The sequence below is a fragment of the Homo sapiens genome, chromosome 8, assembly GCF_000001405.40.
Source record: "Homo sapiens chromosome 8, GRCh38.p14 Primary Assembly".
NCBI lineage: Eukaryota > Metazoa > Chordata > Mammalia > Primates > Hominidae > Homo > Homo sapiens.
This window is the reverse complement of record NC_000008.11, coordinates 139,943,773-139,963,061: the sequence shown is the minus strand read 5'-3', so window position 1 is coordinate 139,963,061 and position 19,289 is coordinate 139,943,773. Positions and strand designations below refer to the sequence as shown.

Genomic DNA, 19,289 nt, shown 5'->3' with positions numbered 1-19,289 from the left:
TATTGCTGCTGTAACAAATTATCACAAGCTTATTGGCTTAAAACAACACACATTTATTATTTTCCACTCCTGGGGGTCAGAGGTCTGAACATGGAGGAGTAAGCTGTATGCCTGCTGGAGGCCTGGGGGGAATCTGTTCCCTTGCTCCTCCGGCTTCCTGAGGCCCCTGCACTCCTTGGCTCATGGCCCAGCCTCCCTCCAGCCTCTGCATAAGTTTGCCTCCTTCTGTGGCTCCAACCCAACTGCCTCCCTCTCTCCATTATAAGGACCCTTATGCTGCTCAAGGCTGTGATGCTGGGCCTCCCTGAGCTGACAGGGGAGGGAGCTCTGGTGGGTTCTTGCAGAAGCTCTTTGGGTCCTGCTGTGAAAGTCCATGTGTCCTCCTGGTCACCGTGGCCACATGCTTCCAGTGGGGCTGGGAGAATGGCAGTGGGTTCTCCAGGATTGGGACTGATGTCTGGCACCATGTCAAGGTCCAACTTCAGGCTCACCCCAAGTTTATTCTGGCAACATGGATAAATGTTCCAATGACTAGATGGAAGAGGCAGGATATGATGGTGTTTGGATGATAGATACTACTGAAAAACCACAAATACTGTGTGTGTGTTGAATGAATGGATGAATGAAAAAAAGAGAACATACAACTTGTGTTCTTACACCTTGGTGCCTTTGCTCAGCTTCACGGCTTATGGATGGCTATCAAGTTTATTCTGATGTGTTATAATAGCTATTTAGCATGTGATATGTTACAGACACTGAATCTTACTGTTCTGGGATCTTGGGATCTTTGGAGTGCCGATTTTCTTCCCGGAAATCTCTGCGGCCAGTGGTGCCTTTGCCCGAGTTCTTGTCCTGCATCCAGGAAGACTGAGGTACAAAGACATATGAAGGGTGAACAAGATGAAGATGAGCGTCATTGAGTGTTACAACAGCTAGAGGAGACCACAGTGGATAGCTCCTCTTTGTAGGCAAGTCATCCTTCAAGTGTTCAGTTCTCAGCAGAGAAGAGGCCCTGGAGAGGGTAGCTCCTCTGAAACTGGTTGTCCTGATGTCTGCAGTTCTCAGCAGAGAGAGGAGCTCCTCTCTGCAGCTGGTTGTCCCATCATCTCCAGCTATCAGCAGAGGGGTTATTTGTCTCTGCAGCTGGTCATCCCGTCATCTCTCTGCCCTGTTTGTCCTCTGGCTATCCTCTGTCATCCTCTCTTCTACCCTGGCTGAGTCTGGGGCTTTTATAAACCTCACAGGCGAGGAAGTGCCTGCCGACTGGTCCATAGGCAGCCATGGGTGGGTCCAGAAGAGGCAGCACAAGTCCCCCGCTTTGAGATCAGAGCAGGCACCAGGAGCTGAGAGAGGCCAGGCAGTGGGAGCAGACACCCCTGAGCCTGCAGGGATGAGGGGAGGGTCCTTTCTGGGGCCCCCAAGGGTGCAGGCTACAGGCTGCAGAAACGCCCAGGTCCTGCACCTGGGAGGATGGCTGCAACCACACCTGGGAAGGCAGTTCCTGCCTGTTCCTGGCTCCCCTGAGAGCACAGGGAGGCTTGGCTCCATAGCTGCAGTTTCAGTGGCTGTAGCCCTGCCCAGTAGGGTGGGGCTCTTGCCTGCTCCGTAGAGCAGGAGGCCTGGGTCTGCAGCTATGGTTTGGGTGGTGGTTTGGGCAGCTGTGGCACCCCAGGTGCTCCCACTCCAATTCAGAAGGGGTGGGGCTCTCACTGGCTCCATGGAGTATACAGCCCCAGCCATGCCTCCCTGCCATGCTCCCTGCCACAGCCGGCATGATGGCAGCAGCTACTGCCATCATATAGAAAGAAGGCCCTTGAACCAGAGCCTGTGTGCTCACAGCTATCCCTGCTCTGTGTAGTGGGCAGACGGTAGAAATGTGCAGGCGCAGCTGAGGACACACGTGGGTTTGTCCGAGGACACATGTGGGTTTCCTGCTGTCCTCCTCTTCAGCATATACCAGGAGAAGGACGTTCTGTGTTGGGATCTCATGTCCTGTAATCTGCCTTGTTTGTTTTTTTCTTCCTGTCTCTAGCTCTGAAGGGGTTACAAAAGGAGATGTTTTGTTATTTGTTTGCTTGTTTTATGGAACTTGGTATTGGGGACACGTGGACCCTGAAGGGAAATCCTAAAACGTTAGGGGTTAAGCCACCGAACAACCATTATTTGTCCCTACTGGCTCCTCACGGGCACCACTGGGAACAGATTGTGACTTGCTGTGGAGCCCCCATGCAAGCTGAGCCCCACCAGCTGCAGTGGCAGGAGTGCAGAAGGGACAGCAGCTCTGTCACTTGGGGCTCTTCCTGAGGGCCAGGTGGGGTGCTTGGGTGTCCCCCACATGGTCACCGTCCTCTCCACAACTCTGGCTAACAGGCAGGATTCTGGCTTCTCCGTTGAGGACGGAGAGATTGGTGAGTCCTGGCCTACAGCTGGCGAGAGGCAGAGTCCAGACTTGACAGCTGGGTCACCTGTCACAGTGGTTGGTAGCCGTGGGGCGGTGTGGCCTGTGGAAGGCACAGATACGGGTAGTAGTGGAGCTGGCCTGACAAAGGGTCAGGCTGACAAAAAGGATGAATGACATTGAGAGGCGGGAGAACCCAAGGAGGGGTGGCCAGTTCAGACCAGGTACAGAGGGAGAGGGCTCTGGAACACGGGGTGTCGGGGCTCAGGGCCAGGCTGAATCTTCCGGAGGGCGATGCTGGGCAGACTCACCCCAACAGGAGTCTCACTGGGCCTTTGTTCTTTTGTAAAGGCTTTTGCCACTTGGGTGTCCAAGCTGTGGGAGGTTCAGTGGTGGTCAGAGGAGTCTCATCAAGGGATGGGGCTCAGGCCATTGTCTGTGGACAGCAGCTGCATGCACTGCAGGGTCCAAAGTATGCCGACCACAGGTGATGAGGCCAGACGGGGTTATATTTAAATTCCAACCTGGCATTTATTTGCCATCCATCTTGGGCAAGATACTTAACCCCTGACACCTTGATTTCCACATCTGAAAAATGATTCCTCGTGACTAATACATGAGCTGTTCTCTATAAAGTGTCTGCTCAAGCATCTGACACAGGTGCTCAGTCTGTGAGAGCCTCTCGCCGCCGCCTCCTTCCTCCATCGCCCACAGCCCTTGCTCTCTGTGTCTTGGGTTGTGACCTAACTTAAGGCTTTGCTGAGACTCCTGGGTCTTGTGTGGTCTGAGCCAGTGGCCAGGGTGGCCTCATTGGCCCTTTGAAGTTCTCCACCTGCCTGGGGTCTTGAGTTAGCCTCTTTACTGTGTCCCTGCTAGGATGATATCACAGGGCCAGGTACTGGGTGGCTCCCTTCGCCCTTCTCTTCTGGCTTGTTGGCCTAGTGGCTGTCCTGGCTTAAGCAGTGCCTGTAATTGTAGCTTGAGACATGGTCCTGGTCGCTGGGTTCTCTGTCTTTTGTTCTGCTTCCATTTGTTCCCTATAACAAAGCTCTTAGTGCCCAGGGAGCCACTGGGGAGGGGTGTTGGTGGTGGGAAGGTGGACCCTGGCAGTGCTCTTCCTTAAGAGGGCTTGCCAGCGTTGGTGCCCAACAGCTCAAGGTCCACGGCTCAGCTTCACCTCTCACCAGCTGTGGGGCGAGAAGCAACTCATTCCCTCTCTGAGCCTCCATTTTATTGGCCATAAAATGGGGATAATGACCTATTTTACAAGCTTTCCTTGGAGGCCATTGATTTATGGATGTTGTGGCTCCCAAAAGAGTACCTGGCACAGAGGAAGCCCTCAGCAAGTGCTCGGTGAAGTTGGCGTTTCAAGCCCTCTGTTGGTGTTGGCATCTTAGGCCAGGAACTTCACCTAAATACTTCATCAAACTCTCCTGACAGCTTTTGGGGCTTGACAACTGTCTATAACCTTATTTTACACACGGGTAACTGTGGTTAAATGATCTGCTCCCAGTCAGAAAGTGGCCAAGCTGGGAGCCAGTCCCCTGTGTGACTCGGAATGCAGGGCTCCCCCGTGTGACTCGGAATGCAGGGCTCCCCCGTGTGACTCGGAATGCAGGGCTCCCCCGTGTGACTCGGAATGCAGGCCTCCCCCGTGTGACTCGGAATGCAGTGCTCCCCCGTGTGACTCGGAATGCAGGGCTCCCCCGTGTGACTCGGAATGCAGTGCTCCCCCGTGTGACTCGGAATGCAGTGCTCCCCTGTGTGACTCGGAATGCAGTGCTCTGTGTCAGGCTGTCATCTCTGGCATGTGTTCCCGAGGGCAGTGGTCACATCTCATGGTGTCTACACAACTCCCCTTTTCCTTGTGGAAAGGAAAAGGCACTCCTTACATGTCTAAGGAAGCTGACTGCACACCCTGTCCTGCCTCGGGGCGTGTCTGTAAATAAGTGTGGTGCCTCCGCCATCCCAGACACCGTGTTCCTGGGGCTACAGAGTGGTCGGCCTCCCTTCAGGAACCTGGAGTCCCTTTCTTGGTGGAAGCAGCCCTTTTGCAGAAGAGCGTGGGTCTCTTTTATCCAATTAGACACATTTTACTGAGTGATGGCTCTGTGCTGAGTGCAGTCGGGATAACAGAAACTGTTGAGAAGTCAGCCTTCCTGTAAGCCTGCAGAGCAGGCACAGACGCAAATGCCATCATGCAGAGCCGGGGGTGGGGGCAGCCACCTGGAAACTGGGGTCGGCAAAGACTGTGAGTCTCATGGAGACATCTGAGCTCAGAGCTGTGGGAACGGTGTGGTTCCAGCATGCTGAGATAATGGGGAAAGGAAAGAAAAGGCATTGAGGTTTAAAAAACCAGAGCATTTAGTGGCAGGAACAAAGACACACACCTGCCAGCTCAAGAGGTGTGAGTGTGTTGTCAGGGGAAGGGAGCCGTGGGGACTGGCCTTGGGACCTGGAAGCTCAGGGGCCAAGGCGGCCACTTTCCTTCCCTCCTTCTGGGATGCCTATCTCAGCTGCTGTCCTCATGCCTGCAGTGGCAGTGAGTCCTTTCAGCCCAAGTCCCCATCACCAACTGACTCGCGCATGATTGGCATCTGACCCACAAGGGGTCTGGCTGGTTTGCATCAAGAGTCTGTTTGTGGGCCAGTCAGCCACCATGTCACACTCAGGGTCTTTTTGTTCAGGGAGCCTCTCCTCAGGGGCTGTGGGTGGAGCTGGAAGGTTGGCAGAAACCTCTGATACATTTGGGAACAGAAACGACGTCAGTTTGATTAGAACACGGGGCCTTTGGAGAAGACGAAGAGGAGGCTGGGATGGTTGGCAAGCCCTTTGTGATGGGCTCCCCTTATTCTGCTGATGGCTCGGCCCGAGGGGGGCAGTGTGACCTGCATGGCACAGGGGGGTCCTGTGTCCCCTGAGCAAGCGAGTGAGCCACCCCTGCGGCTGTGGCTGAGGGTTTCCTGCATGGCATGCACCTGGTGCCGGGCCTTCTGGGCCAGGGAATGTGACACTTGCTTCTTTCTCCCTCTGCCTCTCCAAGCTTGGACAGCTGGAGGTGGAGAGAGCACAGCTCTGTGTACTGAGCACACGTGCCAGGCGCCAGAAGGCATGGTACGGTGTTGCCATCCCCCTTTTATTCCCGAGGACACCCAGACACAGCGTGCCCTACCTAGGTCCCCAGAGTCAACTTGTGACAGGTCTCCTGCTGTCCCTGCCTCTCTCTGACTCCAGAGTCCTTGCTGTCTGCCAAACATCCCTTCATTTATTTTAAAAAGAAAAGGCTACACGTAGAGCGATACAGGTTGCCTGCTGTTCCCCTCCGATAGGTGCCGCCCACCCTAGCGTGCCCCGTCCAGGACAGCCACCTCAGTCGCCCGAGTCCCCCAAGGCTGCAGGGCAGGTACGCGGCCCTCCCTGCTCATGGCACCCTCCCAGGTCTGCTGTTTCCATGGCAACCCTCTTGGCCTGGGCTGGCCCAAGCTTCCGGACTAGGGTGGCTGTGGCTGTTGGACTCATTGGAACTGTGTTAGCTATTTTTAGCTCCTGTGAGGAAAATCTTGTGGCTTATAAATGTCACAGGATCAAATATGTTTTCAGAGCATGGGGCCCGCTCTGTGTGGAATGCGATTTTGCTGTCTCTGAGGAAGTGGCCTTTGAAGCCGTGTCCCTCCCGCTCGAAGGCAGCAAGCACCTCAGGGCCTTATCCGGTGTCCTCACTGACATCCCATCCCCTCTTCAGCTCCTGAAATCCCATCAGATTTGTGGGTTAACTGAGAGAGAGTGGCTGGGTGTTTTTACCACAGAATTCACCCCTCAGCACGGCCTGAAGGAGGTGCTTGTCCTCCAGGGTGTGGGAGGCCACTCTGTAGGGATAGGGGAGTAGGAGGCATAGGACCTGCCCGGGGTGGCACAACGAGTCTACGCGGAGCCGGGATGGAAGCAGTCTGGCCAGTGCTTCCCCTCTGCATCCACAGGCGCCAGGCTCTGCTGAGCTGAGCAGTGCTGTTCCAGGCACACAGGTCTTTGTTTCTTGTCAATCAGAAGGGCCTGTCCTGATTGGAAACAATTCCTAGGAGGCATTTGCCATGTACGAGACACCGTGGTGGAGGGTGGAGAAATAGGTCAGGCGTAGGCCCAACATCAAGGAGACGCTATGCTGGCAGCTGATGGAGACACATGCCTCAGAAACAACATCCCATGGGCCGGGCGCGGTGGCTCACGCCTGTAATCCCAGCACTTTGGGAGGTTGAGGTGGGCGGATCACAAGGTCAAGAGTTTGAGACCAGCGTGGCAAACATAGTGAAACCCCGTCTCTACTAAAAATACAAAAAATTATCTGGGCGTGGTGGTGGGTGCCTGTAATCCCAGCTACTCAGGAGGCTGAGTCAGGAGAATTGCTTGAATCCGGGGGGCAGAGGTTGCAGTGAGCCGAGATCACACCACTGCACTCCAGCCCAGGCGACAGTGTGAGACTCCATCTCAAAATAAAAGAAAAAAAAAAACGAAACAACATCCCATGTAGGGTGAAATGCACGAAAGAACAAGGTGCTGTGCACACAGGGGTGGGTGTTTCGAACGAGGAGCATCGGAGCTGGTTCTAGGCACAGCCACACTCTCGTCAGGTCTCCGCGTGCTAACCAGCTGCCTCCCTTCCAGCCACACGGCGGGAGAAACGAGGACCCAGACACAGTCTTGAGGGCCAAGATGCATCCATAGTTGAGCATGAGGGAGGGCGGGGCACTGGGGCAGTCATGCTGGATGGCAGCAAGGCAGACCACACCAGGCATCACAGAAGCGCTGCAGAGCTTTCAGTTTCTCTTGGAAAGAAGCCCCTGGGACCTATTTGAGGATTCCTCGACGTTAGTGGACACAGAATGTTAGCACAGCCCTCACGAACAGGAAACTCAGACTGGGGGTGAGTCTGGTCGGTAGCTGGCTGAAAAAGGTGGATTTCCTATTTCCAGTAGTCCTGACCCACATTCCCACTTTTGCTGTTGTTGTTGTTTTCCAGTTAGATACTTTTCATCTCCTTCCAATTGTGCAGTTCTCGAGGAATCCTGCATTGCCTGTTTCTGGACTGGCTGCCTGGGAGGGAGCCTAAATCCCTTCCTGTCTTAGAGCATTTGCATCAGTGGGGTTGGAGCCTTTCTCAGTTTTGATAAGTAGGAGCTGTTTAATGTTGTATTTGCTTCACGTGTTGATGCTGAACGTGGGCGCTTGAAACCAAGTTTGCTCTTGGATCCATCTCGGAGGAGCCCCTGGGTCCGTCCAGGGTTTTTTTGCAGTGTGTGCGGCTGGTGCTGTGTGTCACAGCATGCAAAGAACCCACACGGAGATGATCAGGCTCCTGAACTGAACCTCAAGAACCCAGTGAACAAGACCTACATGAGGCTCCTACAGGATCCCTTCTGGCCCTGATCATTCCTTCATCACTGTTACCAGAAACGGGGAGGTGAGGGTAGGAGGTGGTCAGATGGTGCCGATGGCTGGTGCAGCTGGTGGCAGAGGCTTTGAAATCCGACCCCTTTCACAAGAAAAAATGTGCTTGATCCCTACCATTTATGTAACCAGTACTATAATAAAAACATTAAATATGCATCAACATAAAATTAAATACAGAATCCTTATGCTTATAATACTTAAATCTGTGAAACCGCTTTTCCAAATTATATACATGCCAAATTGTAAGACCAATACAAATAAAATTACCAGATTAACTTGATGAGATGTTTTGGTACAACTAAATTGCCAGTAGAATTGTGAACGTATATGGACAGCTGCAGAGCTGGCTCCTTTTATTTTAACATGCCTGTGTATACAATGGAGTGGATCTGTATTCTCAACATTGGCCTTTATTCAAACCAGGGCAAATCTTCACTGACACGCTGTGATGTCACTTGAGTGTCAAGTGGCGTGAGCACCTCTACCTTTGTTCCTTATTGTTAGCTGGTGGCAGTGAAGGTAATAACACTTGCACAAGCAGCCAAAGACACAAACGCAAACACAGGTCCTGAGATTACCTCGCAGCTTCTTCTTACAAATGGCCATTTAGATGATTTAGAATATGCTTATATTGATTTTTAAAAGCTTGGTCTGCTGGGGCTGCCGTAACAAAGTACCACAGACTGGGTGGGTGGCTTAAACTGCATACAGTTATTTCTCACAGGTCTAGAGGCAAGCTGTCTGGCATCTCTTCTTATAAGGACACTAATCCAATCCTGAGGGCCCACCCTTATGATCACACGTAACCATAGTTACCTCCTAAAGGCTTTACCTCCTAATACCGTCACTTTGAGGGGAAGCGTACAACATATGAATTACTGGGGGACGCAGTCACTCAGTCCATCACAACTGCTTTTTTGAGGTAAAATTGACATACTAAAAACTACACATACGGAAGTGTACACTGTGATCATTTGGGGCATCTGTTTACACCCAAGAAACCATTGCTACAATCTGGACAGTGAGCATATTCATCACCCCCAAAAGCTTCCCTGTGCCCTCATCATCGCTCCCTACCCCTGGCGCAGTCCCCAGGTAACCACCAATCCAATCTACTCCCTGTCGCTGCAGATAACTTTGCACTTTCTAGAGTTCTATTAATATGGGGATGGATCATACAGTACTATTCCTCTTTGATCTGGCTTCTTTCACTCAGGATAATTATTTTGAGGTCTGTCCACACTGTTCAGTGTATCAGTGGTTCTCTACATCGTCTGCAGCATTGGATGTGGTCAGTCTTTTTCATTTTAGCCATTCTAACAGATGTGTAGTGGCATATCATTATGGTTTTAATTTGAATTTCCCTGATCATGAGTAGATATCATTGTATATAGTGATATATTTTTATCATATGAAGCATTTTTATATGTCTGCTTGCCGTCTGTAGATTTTGTTGGTGAAGTATGTGTTCAGGCCCTTTATTTAAATAAAGTTGGGCTGTTTGTTTTGTCACTCTTGCATTTTGAGATCGTCACATACTCTAGATACAGGCTGTTAATCAGATTTATGATTTGCAAGTATTTACTTTCAATCTAGTTTATCTTTTCAAGCGTCACTCAGAGAAGTTTTTAATTTTGATGAAGTCCAATTATCAGTTTGGAGTCATGTCTTCTATGTCTTTTCTAGGAAATTTTTTCCTTTAATGTTTACTTCTACACATTTTTTTTGAGACAGAGTCTTGCTCTGTCACCCAGGCTGGAGTGCAGTGGCACGATCTCGGCTCACTGCAACTCTGCCTCCTGGGTTCAAGCGATTCTCTTGCCTCAGCCTCCTGAGTAGCTGAGATTATAGGTGTGCGCCCCCATGCCTGGCTGATTTTTGCATTTTTAGTAGAGACAGTGTGTCAGCATGTTGACCAGGCTGGTCTTCAACTCCTTGACCTCAAGTGATCCACCTGCCTCGGCCTCCCAAAGTGCTGGGATTACAGGCGTGAGCCGCAACTCCTGGCCTACTTTTACAAGTTTTATAGTTGTAGGTTTTACGTATCTTAAAATGATCCATTTTGTTAGTTGTTGTAGATAGTGCAAGGTGGATCGAAGTGGGTGTTTTTGCATGTAGATAATTGATTATTCCATCGTGTCCTCTGCCTCTGAATCCAGGGCACTGGAAACAGCCATCCTCTTACTTCCTGTGGCAGGCAGTTTGGCCTGCGTCTCAGGCTTGGTGTCTAGAGTCAGACTACTTGGATTCAAGTCCAGCTCTGCTTCTGACAAGCCGTGGGGTCTTGGAAAGTTAGCTGACCTCTTTACCTTCAGTTTCCACATCTGTAAAGTGTGTTAATAATAGAATGTGCTGGTTTGGGTTGTTATAGAATCCGATTAGAGAATGGATGTGATGTGCTTAGCACAGTGCCTGGTGCAGAGGAAGTGCTCAGTAGAGAACAGCATCGACACTGTCACTGCTGCCACCACCCTGGCAGTGTGAGTCGACTGCCACAGCTGCTTTCCAGGTGCCCCACCAGCACCCCTCGGCCCCATCCTCTGGCGACCTGCCTTGTCTTGCAGTATCTTGTTCTCAAACATAGGCATCCTAGGATCTTCACCTCTGAGTCTTTTTTCTATCCTCTTGTTCCCTTTTCTTGGCACACTCTTTGCCCAGGCCTTTGTTCACTGCTCCCGGGGAGAGCCCTCTGGTGACCCGAGCTGCCGGGCTCCTGTGCAGTCTTGCTGTTTCAGGTCCTGTTTGGTGCATTCTACTTTAGTCTTCCTTAAAAGTTCCGTGAAATAGAAAGCACCACGCCTGGAGTCACACAGACCTAGGTTCACACCATGCTTTCCTCACTTGTTTAACCATTTGATTTAGGCAAGTCACCTGAACTCAGCCTGACCCTTCTTCTGTGACAATAATAATAATAAAATGATTTCCTCTTTTGTTATTGTGATTATTGTGAAGATTAAATGGGATTCTGGATACAAAAGCCCCTTACGCAGTGTCTGGCATGCAATTTGCTATTAATCTAATTCTGAAAGTAATGTGGATCAGGGCTTTAGCCACAAAAATGCAAAAGGAAGAAAAAGAGCCATTTTGAGACTGAAGTTAGTAACAGCTTAAGTTGTGGGTAAGAAGGTAAAGTATTTCTTCAGCTTTTAAGCTTGAGGAGATGATTATTTCCTTCACCTTACTCCTTAGAAAGAAGGAAATTAGAAGAGAAAATTTATCCTTGATGAAAATACATGTTTGTGTGATCCTGATGCGCAAATGATTGGAATGTGGCAATTTAGGTGGCCAGAACACCTTCCTCCCAGATAATGCTTAATTGCCACAGTGATGAGAAGGTATATTCACCTGCTGCTTGGCCTTAAGCGTTTCAAGAGCATGTTTTTCTTCACTTGCATTCTATTTGAAACAACTAAGTAATCACTATTCAATCTCTGGCCTTTAGAAGATCTCTGTGAGCCCCTTTTCTGTCCTGTCAGTGCCCTTTGGTGCAGACTCAGAGGTGCGTGGAGTGAGCTCGGCATCTGTAATCACATAATGAGAAGAACAGAGGCCTACCTCTGCCTCCCAGCCTCTAACTCTGCAGCTTGAGGTACAGCTTCTCCTAAGTTTCAGTGCCCTGTGCAGAAAATGGGCATTTATTCCTTACATGAGCAACAGACATGTAGTGCCTCTGGCCCTCTGGACTTGACATTCTAATGGTACGAACAGAAGAGGAGGTGCTGGAGATCCAAGGACTTTGTCTGCAAGCAAGAGCAGTCTGCTGGGGAAAGTGGCAAAGGCCGGGATGGTGGCAGTGAGGACACCTGCCCCCAGGCAGCAGAACGTGACTGTCACATTTCTTCTCATCTTGAACCCTCATGGCACAGTTTTTGTTCAGTGGTTTGAATAGGAAGGCGACAGAAAAAAATGAGTAGCTCCAACTGGCCTGACTCGTGTGCTAACCACTGGGACACCCAGCTGTGACCACTTCGAAGAGAACGGTGGGGCCTGCAGGCATCAAGCCCCTATAGGAGTAGGGCTTTGTGTGAGGAGCGTTGGCAGAGGCTTTGTTCCTTCCCATACCAATTCTGTGAGGTGTCAGGGTGATTCTCCAACTTCTTAGGAGGAAGAAATGGAGCTCAGAGAGGTGGCGTAACCAGGCCTGTGTCACAGGTGGGGAGGTGGCGGTGGGGATGTGCGCGCCTGGGTCTGGCTGACTCCAAGCCGTGAGCAGGTGAGGCACTCTGTTTGGCAGGGCGTTGTCCTCGGTTGACTCACCTCACCCTTTTATAGTTCATTTGTTTGGCTGTAAGGCGGGTGCGGCTCCCTCCCTGCCGCGCCTCCTCTTGCCGCATGCCATGTGTTTTGGTGCATACCAAAGAGGCCTTCGGAGCTGGTGTTCACTTACTGGTTGGTGTGCAACCACTACATCAGTCCGTTTTTTCTGCTCTTGTAGCCTAATTGAATTGTCAGTTGCTGAATGTTTTCACCAGTGTTTAAGTTGTTGATTTCTGGGACTATATCAAGAAACCCATGGTGATTTGGGAAAGGTCTGATTCATACCTGTAGCATTCTAAGGTTTGGGGGTTGGTTTGTTGCTTTTATCACCAGTTCTTGGAAGGCCCTTGGCTGGTGCAGCCTTGTCAACATGATGTCTGTTATGCCTCACAGCGGCAACTTAAGCATTCATCCTGTTGAAAGTCACAACTCGGCCAACTGGTTATCTTGCTTAATGCTGTCTGTTCAACAGCAGATTTGACTTGAGCCCTGGTTTACTCATTGTGAAATCAGCAATACCACTCTGGACAAGTTCCCCAACCACCCTGAACTTCAATTCCCTCAGCCTTGAATTCGCGAGAACCATTGTTAATTGACAGGCATCATCTGCTGACAGGTTCACCTTCCATTTCGTAGGCAAGCGATAAAAAGCCTGAGCTCCGCGGTTTGCCAAGTAAAAAGTATTTGTGCATATTGTTACTTTGAATCCTCATGAGAACTCATTGAGGATGAAAGTTGCCTTCATTCCATAGACGAGGACTAAGCAGAACCTGGACTGTGGACCAGCAATCTATCCTGGGCTCCTGTGGCCACACGCCCCGCTTCCCCCACGGTCACCTGAAGCTGGACTTACCACTCGCCTCGCCATCATGGGACAAAAACTTTCTAGGGGGTGCCGTGCTACCTTGAATGATTTTATAGACCTTTGTTCTGCAGGATGTGGTGTATAAGCTGAGATGTCTGTGTTGAAGGTGGGGCAGAGTTATTTATATCAGACATGTATAATCAATAACAGTTTCTTTTCTTTTTAAATGACAGTTTTATTGAGATGTAATTAACATATCCTTTGATGCACCTATTTACAGCTCGTTAACTCATTGGTATTGAGGATACTCACAGAGTTGTGCAGCCGTTACCATGATTGATTTTAGAACACTATCACCTACCATGCTACAAAAACTCCTACCCATTGGCCACCACTCCCCCTTTCCACTTCCCCCACCCCCAGCCCTAGGCAACCATTGATCTACTTTTGGTTTCTATGGATTTACCTATTCTGGACATTTCATATAAGTGGAATTCTGTGTGTGTTCTGTTGTGACTGGCTGCTTTACTCAGCATGTAATGTAATCAGGGTCTATTCATGTTGAAGTATGTATCAATACTTCCTTCCTTTTTACTGCTAAATGATATTCCATCACATGGATATTGCACATTTTATTTAGTGGTTTATCGATTGATGGACCCTTACGTTGCTGCCCCTTTTGTCTGTCACGAATGACGCTACTGTGTGTGCTCTTGTGTGCGTTTTTATATGGAAATGTTCTCATTGCCCACGGATGTCTCCTAGAAATGAAATTGTTGGGTCATACGGTAACGCCACGTTTAATGTTTTCTGTTTTTTCTTTAGTCAGCTTTGGTGAGTTACATGTTTTCTCCTTGAGAATTATTTCTCAATTTTATTATATCTAAGGTTTTAAAGTTTATTGGCAAAAAATTATTCATAATTTTCTTTTACCCTTTTACAGTCTTAGTACCTGTAATGAAATCAGGTTTTCTTATTCCTAATATTATTATTTGTGTCTTTGGTTTTTTTTCTCCTGTGATCATTCTCACAGAAATTTCTGTTTTAATTAGTTTGTTATTGTCTTTTTTATTTTTATTTTTTTGAGATGGAGTCTCACCATGTCTCCCAGGCCGGAGTACAGTGGTGCAATCTTGGCTCACGGCAACCTCTGCCTCCTGGGTTCAAGCGATTCTCCCGCCTCAGCCTCCCAATTAGCTGGGATTACAGGCGCCCACCACACTAGCTAGTTCTTGTATTTTCAGTAGAGACAGGGTTTCCCCATGTTGGCCAGGCTGGTCTCGAACTCCTGACCTCAAGTGATCCGCCACCTCATCCTCTCAAAGTGCTGAGGTTACAGGTGTGAGCCACTGAGCTTGGCCTGTTATTGTCTTTTTAATATTTCGGTGAGCAGGCTTGGTTGACAGGCTCACCCTGATAATGGGAAAGGCTGCAAAGGGGGCACCTGTGCGTGAGGCCTGGCTCCTAGCCCCAATCCTGTGGCCAGATCAGGGTTGCCGTAATTGGAAACCTTGATAAGAATTTTACATTTGAAGGTGGAGGTGGAGGTAGGGTGGGGGGCTCCTCCTAAAGGAAGGGGCTGCCGTAATGAACAAAACTTAGGGAGAAGGGCATCGGGCCAGCCTGGTAATTTGTGGCCTCTCCTGCCTGCCCCTCTGTCTTAGCCACATTGGCTTCCTTGATGTCTTCTGACCTTCCCAGATGTCCTCTAGCCTTAGAGCATCAGCATTTGCTGTCTGCGCTCCCTGGGATTCTCTTTTCCTTACTCAAGGCGAAGCCGTTATATTGGCAAAAACAAAAGGGAGGGTGTGAACACCAGGGCAGGGGTCATGGGGAACACGCTAGGATCTGTACGTCACAGTGTGTGTGTGTGTGTGTGTGTGTGTGTGTGTGTGTGTGTGTGTGTGTTTTATGAACCATCTTCCCCCACTCAGTGTAAGGAGGGCTCTTCGTTTTGTTCGCTTCTATTTCCCTTCCATCTAAAACAGTGCCTGGTACAACGTAGTTCCCGGATGAAAGAGTGAACCTAATACTCAAGGACCCTGTGATGCAAGGCTTATGATTCGCACTCCACAGATAAGGAAACTGAGGCTCAGGGTGGGTCAGTAATGTTCCCACGGCCATGCAAGTGCCAGTGGACAGAACGTGGACAAGAATCCAGGTCTGTTGGACTCAAAATCCCGTGCTGTCAATTCTCCTGGCTCCCTTATACTCTCTCTCTCTCTCTCTCTCGCTCTCTCTCTCTCTCTATATATATATATACACACATATTTCTTTTTTTTTTTTTTGAGACGGAATTTTGCTCTTGTGGCCCAGACTGGAGTTCAGTGGTGTGATCTTGGCTCACTGCAACCTCTGCCTCCCAGGTTCAGGTGATTCTCCTTCCTCAGCCTCCTGAGTAGCTGGGATTACAGGTGCCCGCCACCATGACCGGCTAATTTTTTTTTATTTTTATTTTTAGTAGAGACAGGGTTTCCCCATGTTGGCCAGGCTGATCACAAACTCCTGACTTCAGGTGATCCACCTGCCTAGGCCTCCCAAAGTGCTGGGATTACAGGCGTGAGCCACCTTGCCTGGCCCTTAATACTGTATTTTTAATTATACAAGATTTCAAGGGGAATAAGAACTTTATTCTACTTTTCAACAAGGACAAAACAAAGCCTTATTTAAATTAAAGCAAGGGAGATATTGGCATATATAACAAAGGTCTATTTTTCTTCATACTTTGTCCTGGTTAGTTTGTCATTCTTCTGTCCTTTGCTCCCGGCGGCTGAGTAATACAGCATTGCTTTTCCTGCAGCCTGCCCTGGCTACAGAACCACATTATCTCTTGTTAAATGCTATTTGGTGGCGTTGATGGAGATTAGTACCTGGTGGTTTATGAAAATGGTGGGAATCCCTCACTCGCATCTGAAGTGTGAGAATATTTATAGCAGAAGAAATGCGCGTGTAGTTCATTTCCTCTGTTCCCTATCATGCTAATATTTCTTTAATGATACCACCCTGTCTTGCTACAACACGCTACTTATTTGACTTGCCAGGTGAGTTGCATGGAAACCCTGCAATTTAATTACCAACTCATTTCTCTCTCCATTTCCTTACGCAGGGTGTGAAAACCTTTCTTTTCCCAGCCAGGGCCTTTTTTGGTTTTTTGTTTTGTTTTGTTTTTTGAGATGGAGTCTTACTGTGTTGTCCAGGCTGGAGTGCAGTGGTGCAATCTCAGCTCACTGCAACCTCTGCCTCCTGGGTTCAAGCGATTCTCCTGCCTCAGCCTCCCGAGTAGCTGGGATTAGAGGCGCCCGCCACCATGCCTGGATAATTTTTTTTTTTTTAAATTTTTAGCAGAGACAGGGTTTCACCGTGTTAGCCAGGATGGTCTCGATCTCCTGACCTCGTGATCCACCCGCCTCGGCCTCCCAAAGTGCTGGGATTTCAGGCGTGAGCCACTGCTCTTGGCCAGGGCCTTTTTTTTTTTTTTAGAAGAAAATTCTGCGGATACTCTCATATCTCTTCACCTGCCTCTTCTTTCCCCTTGTGCTGCCACCTAACATCTTTATTATCTGGCCTTTGAGACACTGGCATACCTTGCTAAATGCTTGCTTTTCCTGCTTCTTTTCCTCTATAAGCATTCATGGTAAATAGCACTGCTAGAGGAAGAGCAAAGAAGCAAAACTCCAAGCATGTCACTCCCGACTCCAGAGGACAAGGGAGAGAGGGTCAGTGTAGATTCTCAAGCGCCTGCTATATACCAGCCATTGACGAGGGCTTCTAACACACCTGGCCATGCCTCGTTCTTACGGAATCCATTGAGTGCATGCAATTTTTAGCCCCATTGAACAGATGATGAAAGTGAGACTCAGAAAGATGAAGTAATTCCACAGTGAGGAATCAGTGAAATTAGAATAAAGATCAGGTTTGCCTGGCATAAAGCCTGCTAGGGCCTATTTGACCACACCAGGAGGGTCTTTGAGCCTCGATTTCTTTGAGATCTTCCTTAAAAGGGGTGGGGGTTGGTTCTTGAGAGAGATCAGTTGGAAAATTCCGCATATCCACCTCCCCCCTTGGGGATTTCCACACACATTTGTATCTTAAGGATTCTGAGAAGTCTTCCATTTCAGAAAATGAGTTGATTTTTAGAAATGTTTTTAATTGTAAAGATTTTTAAACATACAGCAAAGTTAAATCTAGGTGGTGGGTACAGCAGTGATTGTACCACTACTATTTTGCTATAATTCCTTTACTGAGTGTCTATTACTATATCCACCTTTTTATCCATCTGTTAGTCCATCATATTTCGTTCATGCATTTGAAAATAAATTGCAAACCTCAGTATATTTCCCCTAACAACCAAGGGAGATACATCCTTCACTAGAGTCGAATGTGTACTCTGTATCACTCAGTCATTTGACATCTATTCAGACTTGTCTCATGACCCACATGAGCTTCATCCTGGTGAGCACACCTTATGCACTGGAAGAGGACGTGGGCCTGAAGTTGTTTGCTGTAGTGCTGTCTGCACACCAGCTCTGGAGTTGCACGTGTTGTTCAGTTCATTTATGTCTTTACTGACTGTTTTTTGTTGGTTTTTTTTTTTTTTTTTTTTTTTTTTTTTTGCTAATTGTGCTGTCAATTGTGGAGAGCAGGATCTTAAAACCTCCAACTATGATTGTGGAATTGTCTGACTCCCTCTAATTGTGTCAGTTTTTGCTTTGTGTATTTTGAAGTTCTTTGATTGTATCCTCATATGTTGGTGAGTATTATGTCCTGCTAATGGATTCACTTCACTTCATTATGGACAATGATGAGTCTTTGATACTCTTTGTCTTGAAGTCTATTTCATATGATGTTGATATAACCACTCCAGTATGGTAATACAAGCATACTATTTGCAAAGGATGCCTTTTGCAATCCGTTCACTCCAAACCTGCATAAGTTTTCATATTTAAAGTACTTTACTTATAAACAACGTATAGTTGAATTTTGCCTTTTTATTTTTTTGTTTTACTATTTATTTCTTTATTATTATTATTTTTGAGATGGAGTCTCACTCTGTTGCATAGGCTGGAGCACAATGGCATGATCTTGGCTCAATGAAACCTCCGCTTCCTGAGTGCAAGTGATTCTCTTGCCTCAGCCTCCTGTGTAGCTGGCTTTACAGGTGCATGCCACCACACCCAGCTAATTTTTTGTATTTTTAGTAGAGACAGGGTTTCGCCATGTTGGCCACGCTGATCTCAAACTCCTGATCTCAGGTGATCTGCCCACCTTGGCCTCCCAAAGTGCTGGGATTACAGGCATGAGCCACCATGGCTGGCGTGCTTTTTTAATCTATTGTAACAATCTCTGTCTTTTAAGAGTATTTAATTTATTAATATTTCAGGTATTTATTGGTATTTGGTTTAAGTCTGCTATGTTAATACTTGTTTCCTGAATGACCCCACTGCTTTTTATTCATTTGTTTCCCTTTTCCTGCCATCTTTTGTATTATTTAATTCTATATAACATATATGTATGTATTTATATATGAATTACATATTCACATATGAATTTATCTGTCAGCTTTTTACCTATACCTCTTTATGTTTTTAGTGGTTGCTGTTGGGATTACAATACACAACCTTAATTTTCATGGTCTATTTAAAGTTATTATTGTGTCATTTCACATAAAATATAGAATATTTGCAACCACATCGGTTCCTGTGTCTAAGCCCTGTCATTGAAGCTATAGTGGTCAAATGTGTCAGATCTATGTACATTATAAATCACACAAGGATAATGATATGTTTTAAGAAGTCATCTGTATTTAAAATAAATAAGAAAACAATATTTTATATTTGCCCAAGTATTTACTATTTCTGATGGTCTTCATTATTACCTAAATAGCCAAGTTTCATTTCCATCTGGTACTCGTTTCCTGTAACTCCAAGAATTTTCTTCTAGCATTTCTTGTAAAGGGAGACTTCTGTTGATAATTTCTTTTAGTTTTCTTTAATCTGAAATGTTTTTATTTTGCTTTCATTTCTGAGGGATATTTTCATTGGATATAGAATTCTGGTTGAAAGTTCCTTTCCCTTATTCTGCTTGGGTTTTGCCAAAGTTCTTAAGATTATACATTTATGTTTTTCACCAAATTAGGGGAAATACTGGTTATGACTTCTTTGAACACATGTGTTTTTCGGCCTCATTCTTGTGCCTCCAAGGACAGGTATGTTAGAATGTTTGATATTGTTCCACAGGTCCCTGAAGCTCTGTTTTGTTTTGTTTTTTTCCTAGCTGCTCATGTTTCATTTATCTGTCTTCTTAAGATTGGATGACTTACTTTGACCTGTCTTCTGTCTACTGATTCTTTCCTCCATCACTTTCATTCTTCTGTGAAGCCTATCC

General features: G+C 47.6%; 1 protein-coding gene across 15 annotated transcripts in view, besides 1 other annotated feature; it reads left to right on the top strand.

Moving 5' to 3' along the window:
- The window catches only part of TRAPPC9 (trafficking protein particle complex subunit 9), a 730,855-nt gene that overhangs the window by 495,518 nt on the left and 216,048 nt on the right, over positions 1 to 19,289 (top strand). The window lies entirely within an intron of this gene.
- Positions 9,632 to 9,798: a silencer, noted in NCBI's record as "fragment chr8:140965559-140965725 (GRCh37/hg19 assembly coordinates)". NCBI's record gives its function as "represses an EF-1alpha promoter that drives an FKBP-Casp9 reporter gene in an ReSE screen in K562 erythroleukemia cells {active_cell/tissue: K562}" and the evidence as "EXISTENCE:reporter gene assay evidence [ECO:0000049][PMID:32094911]".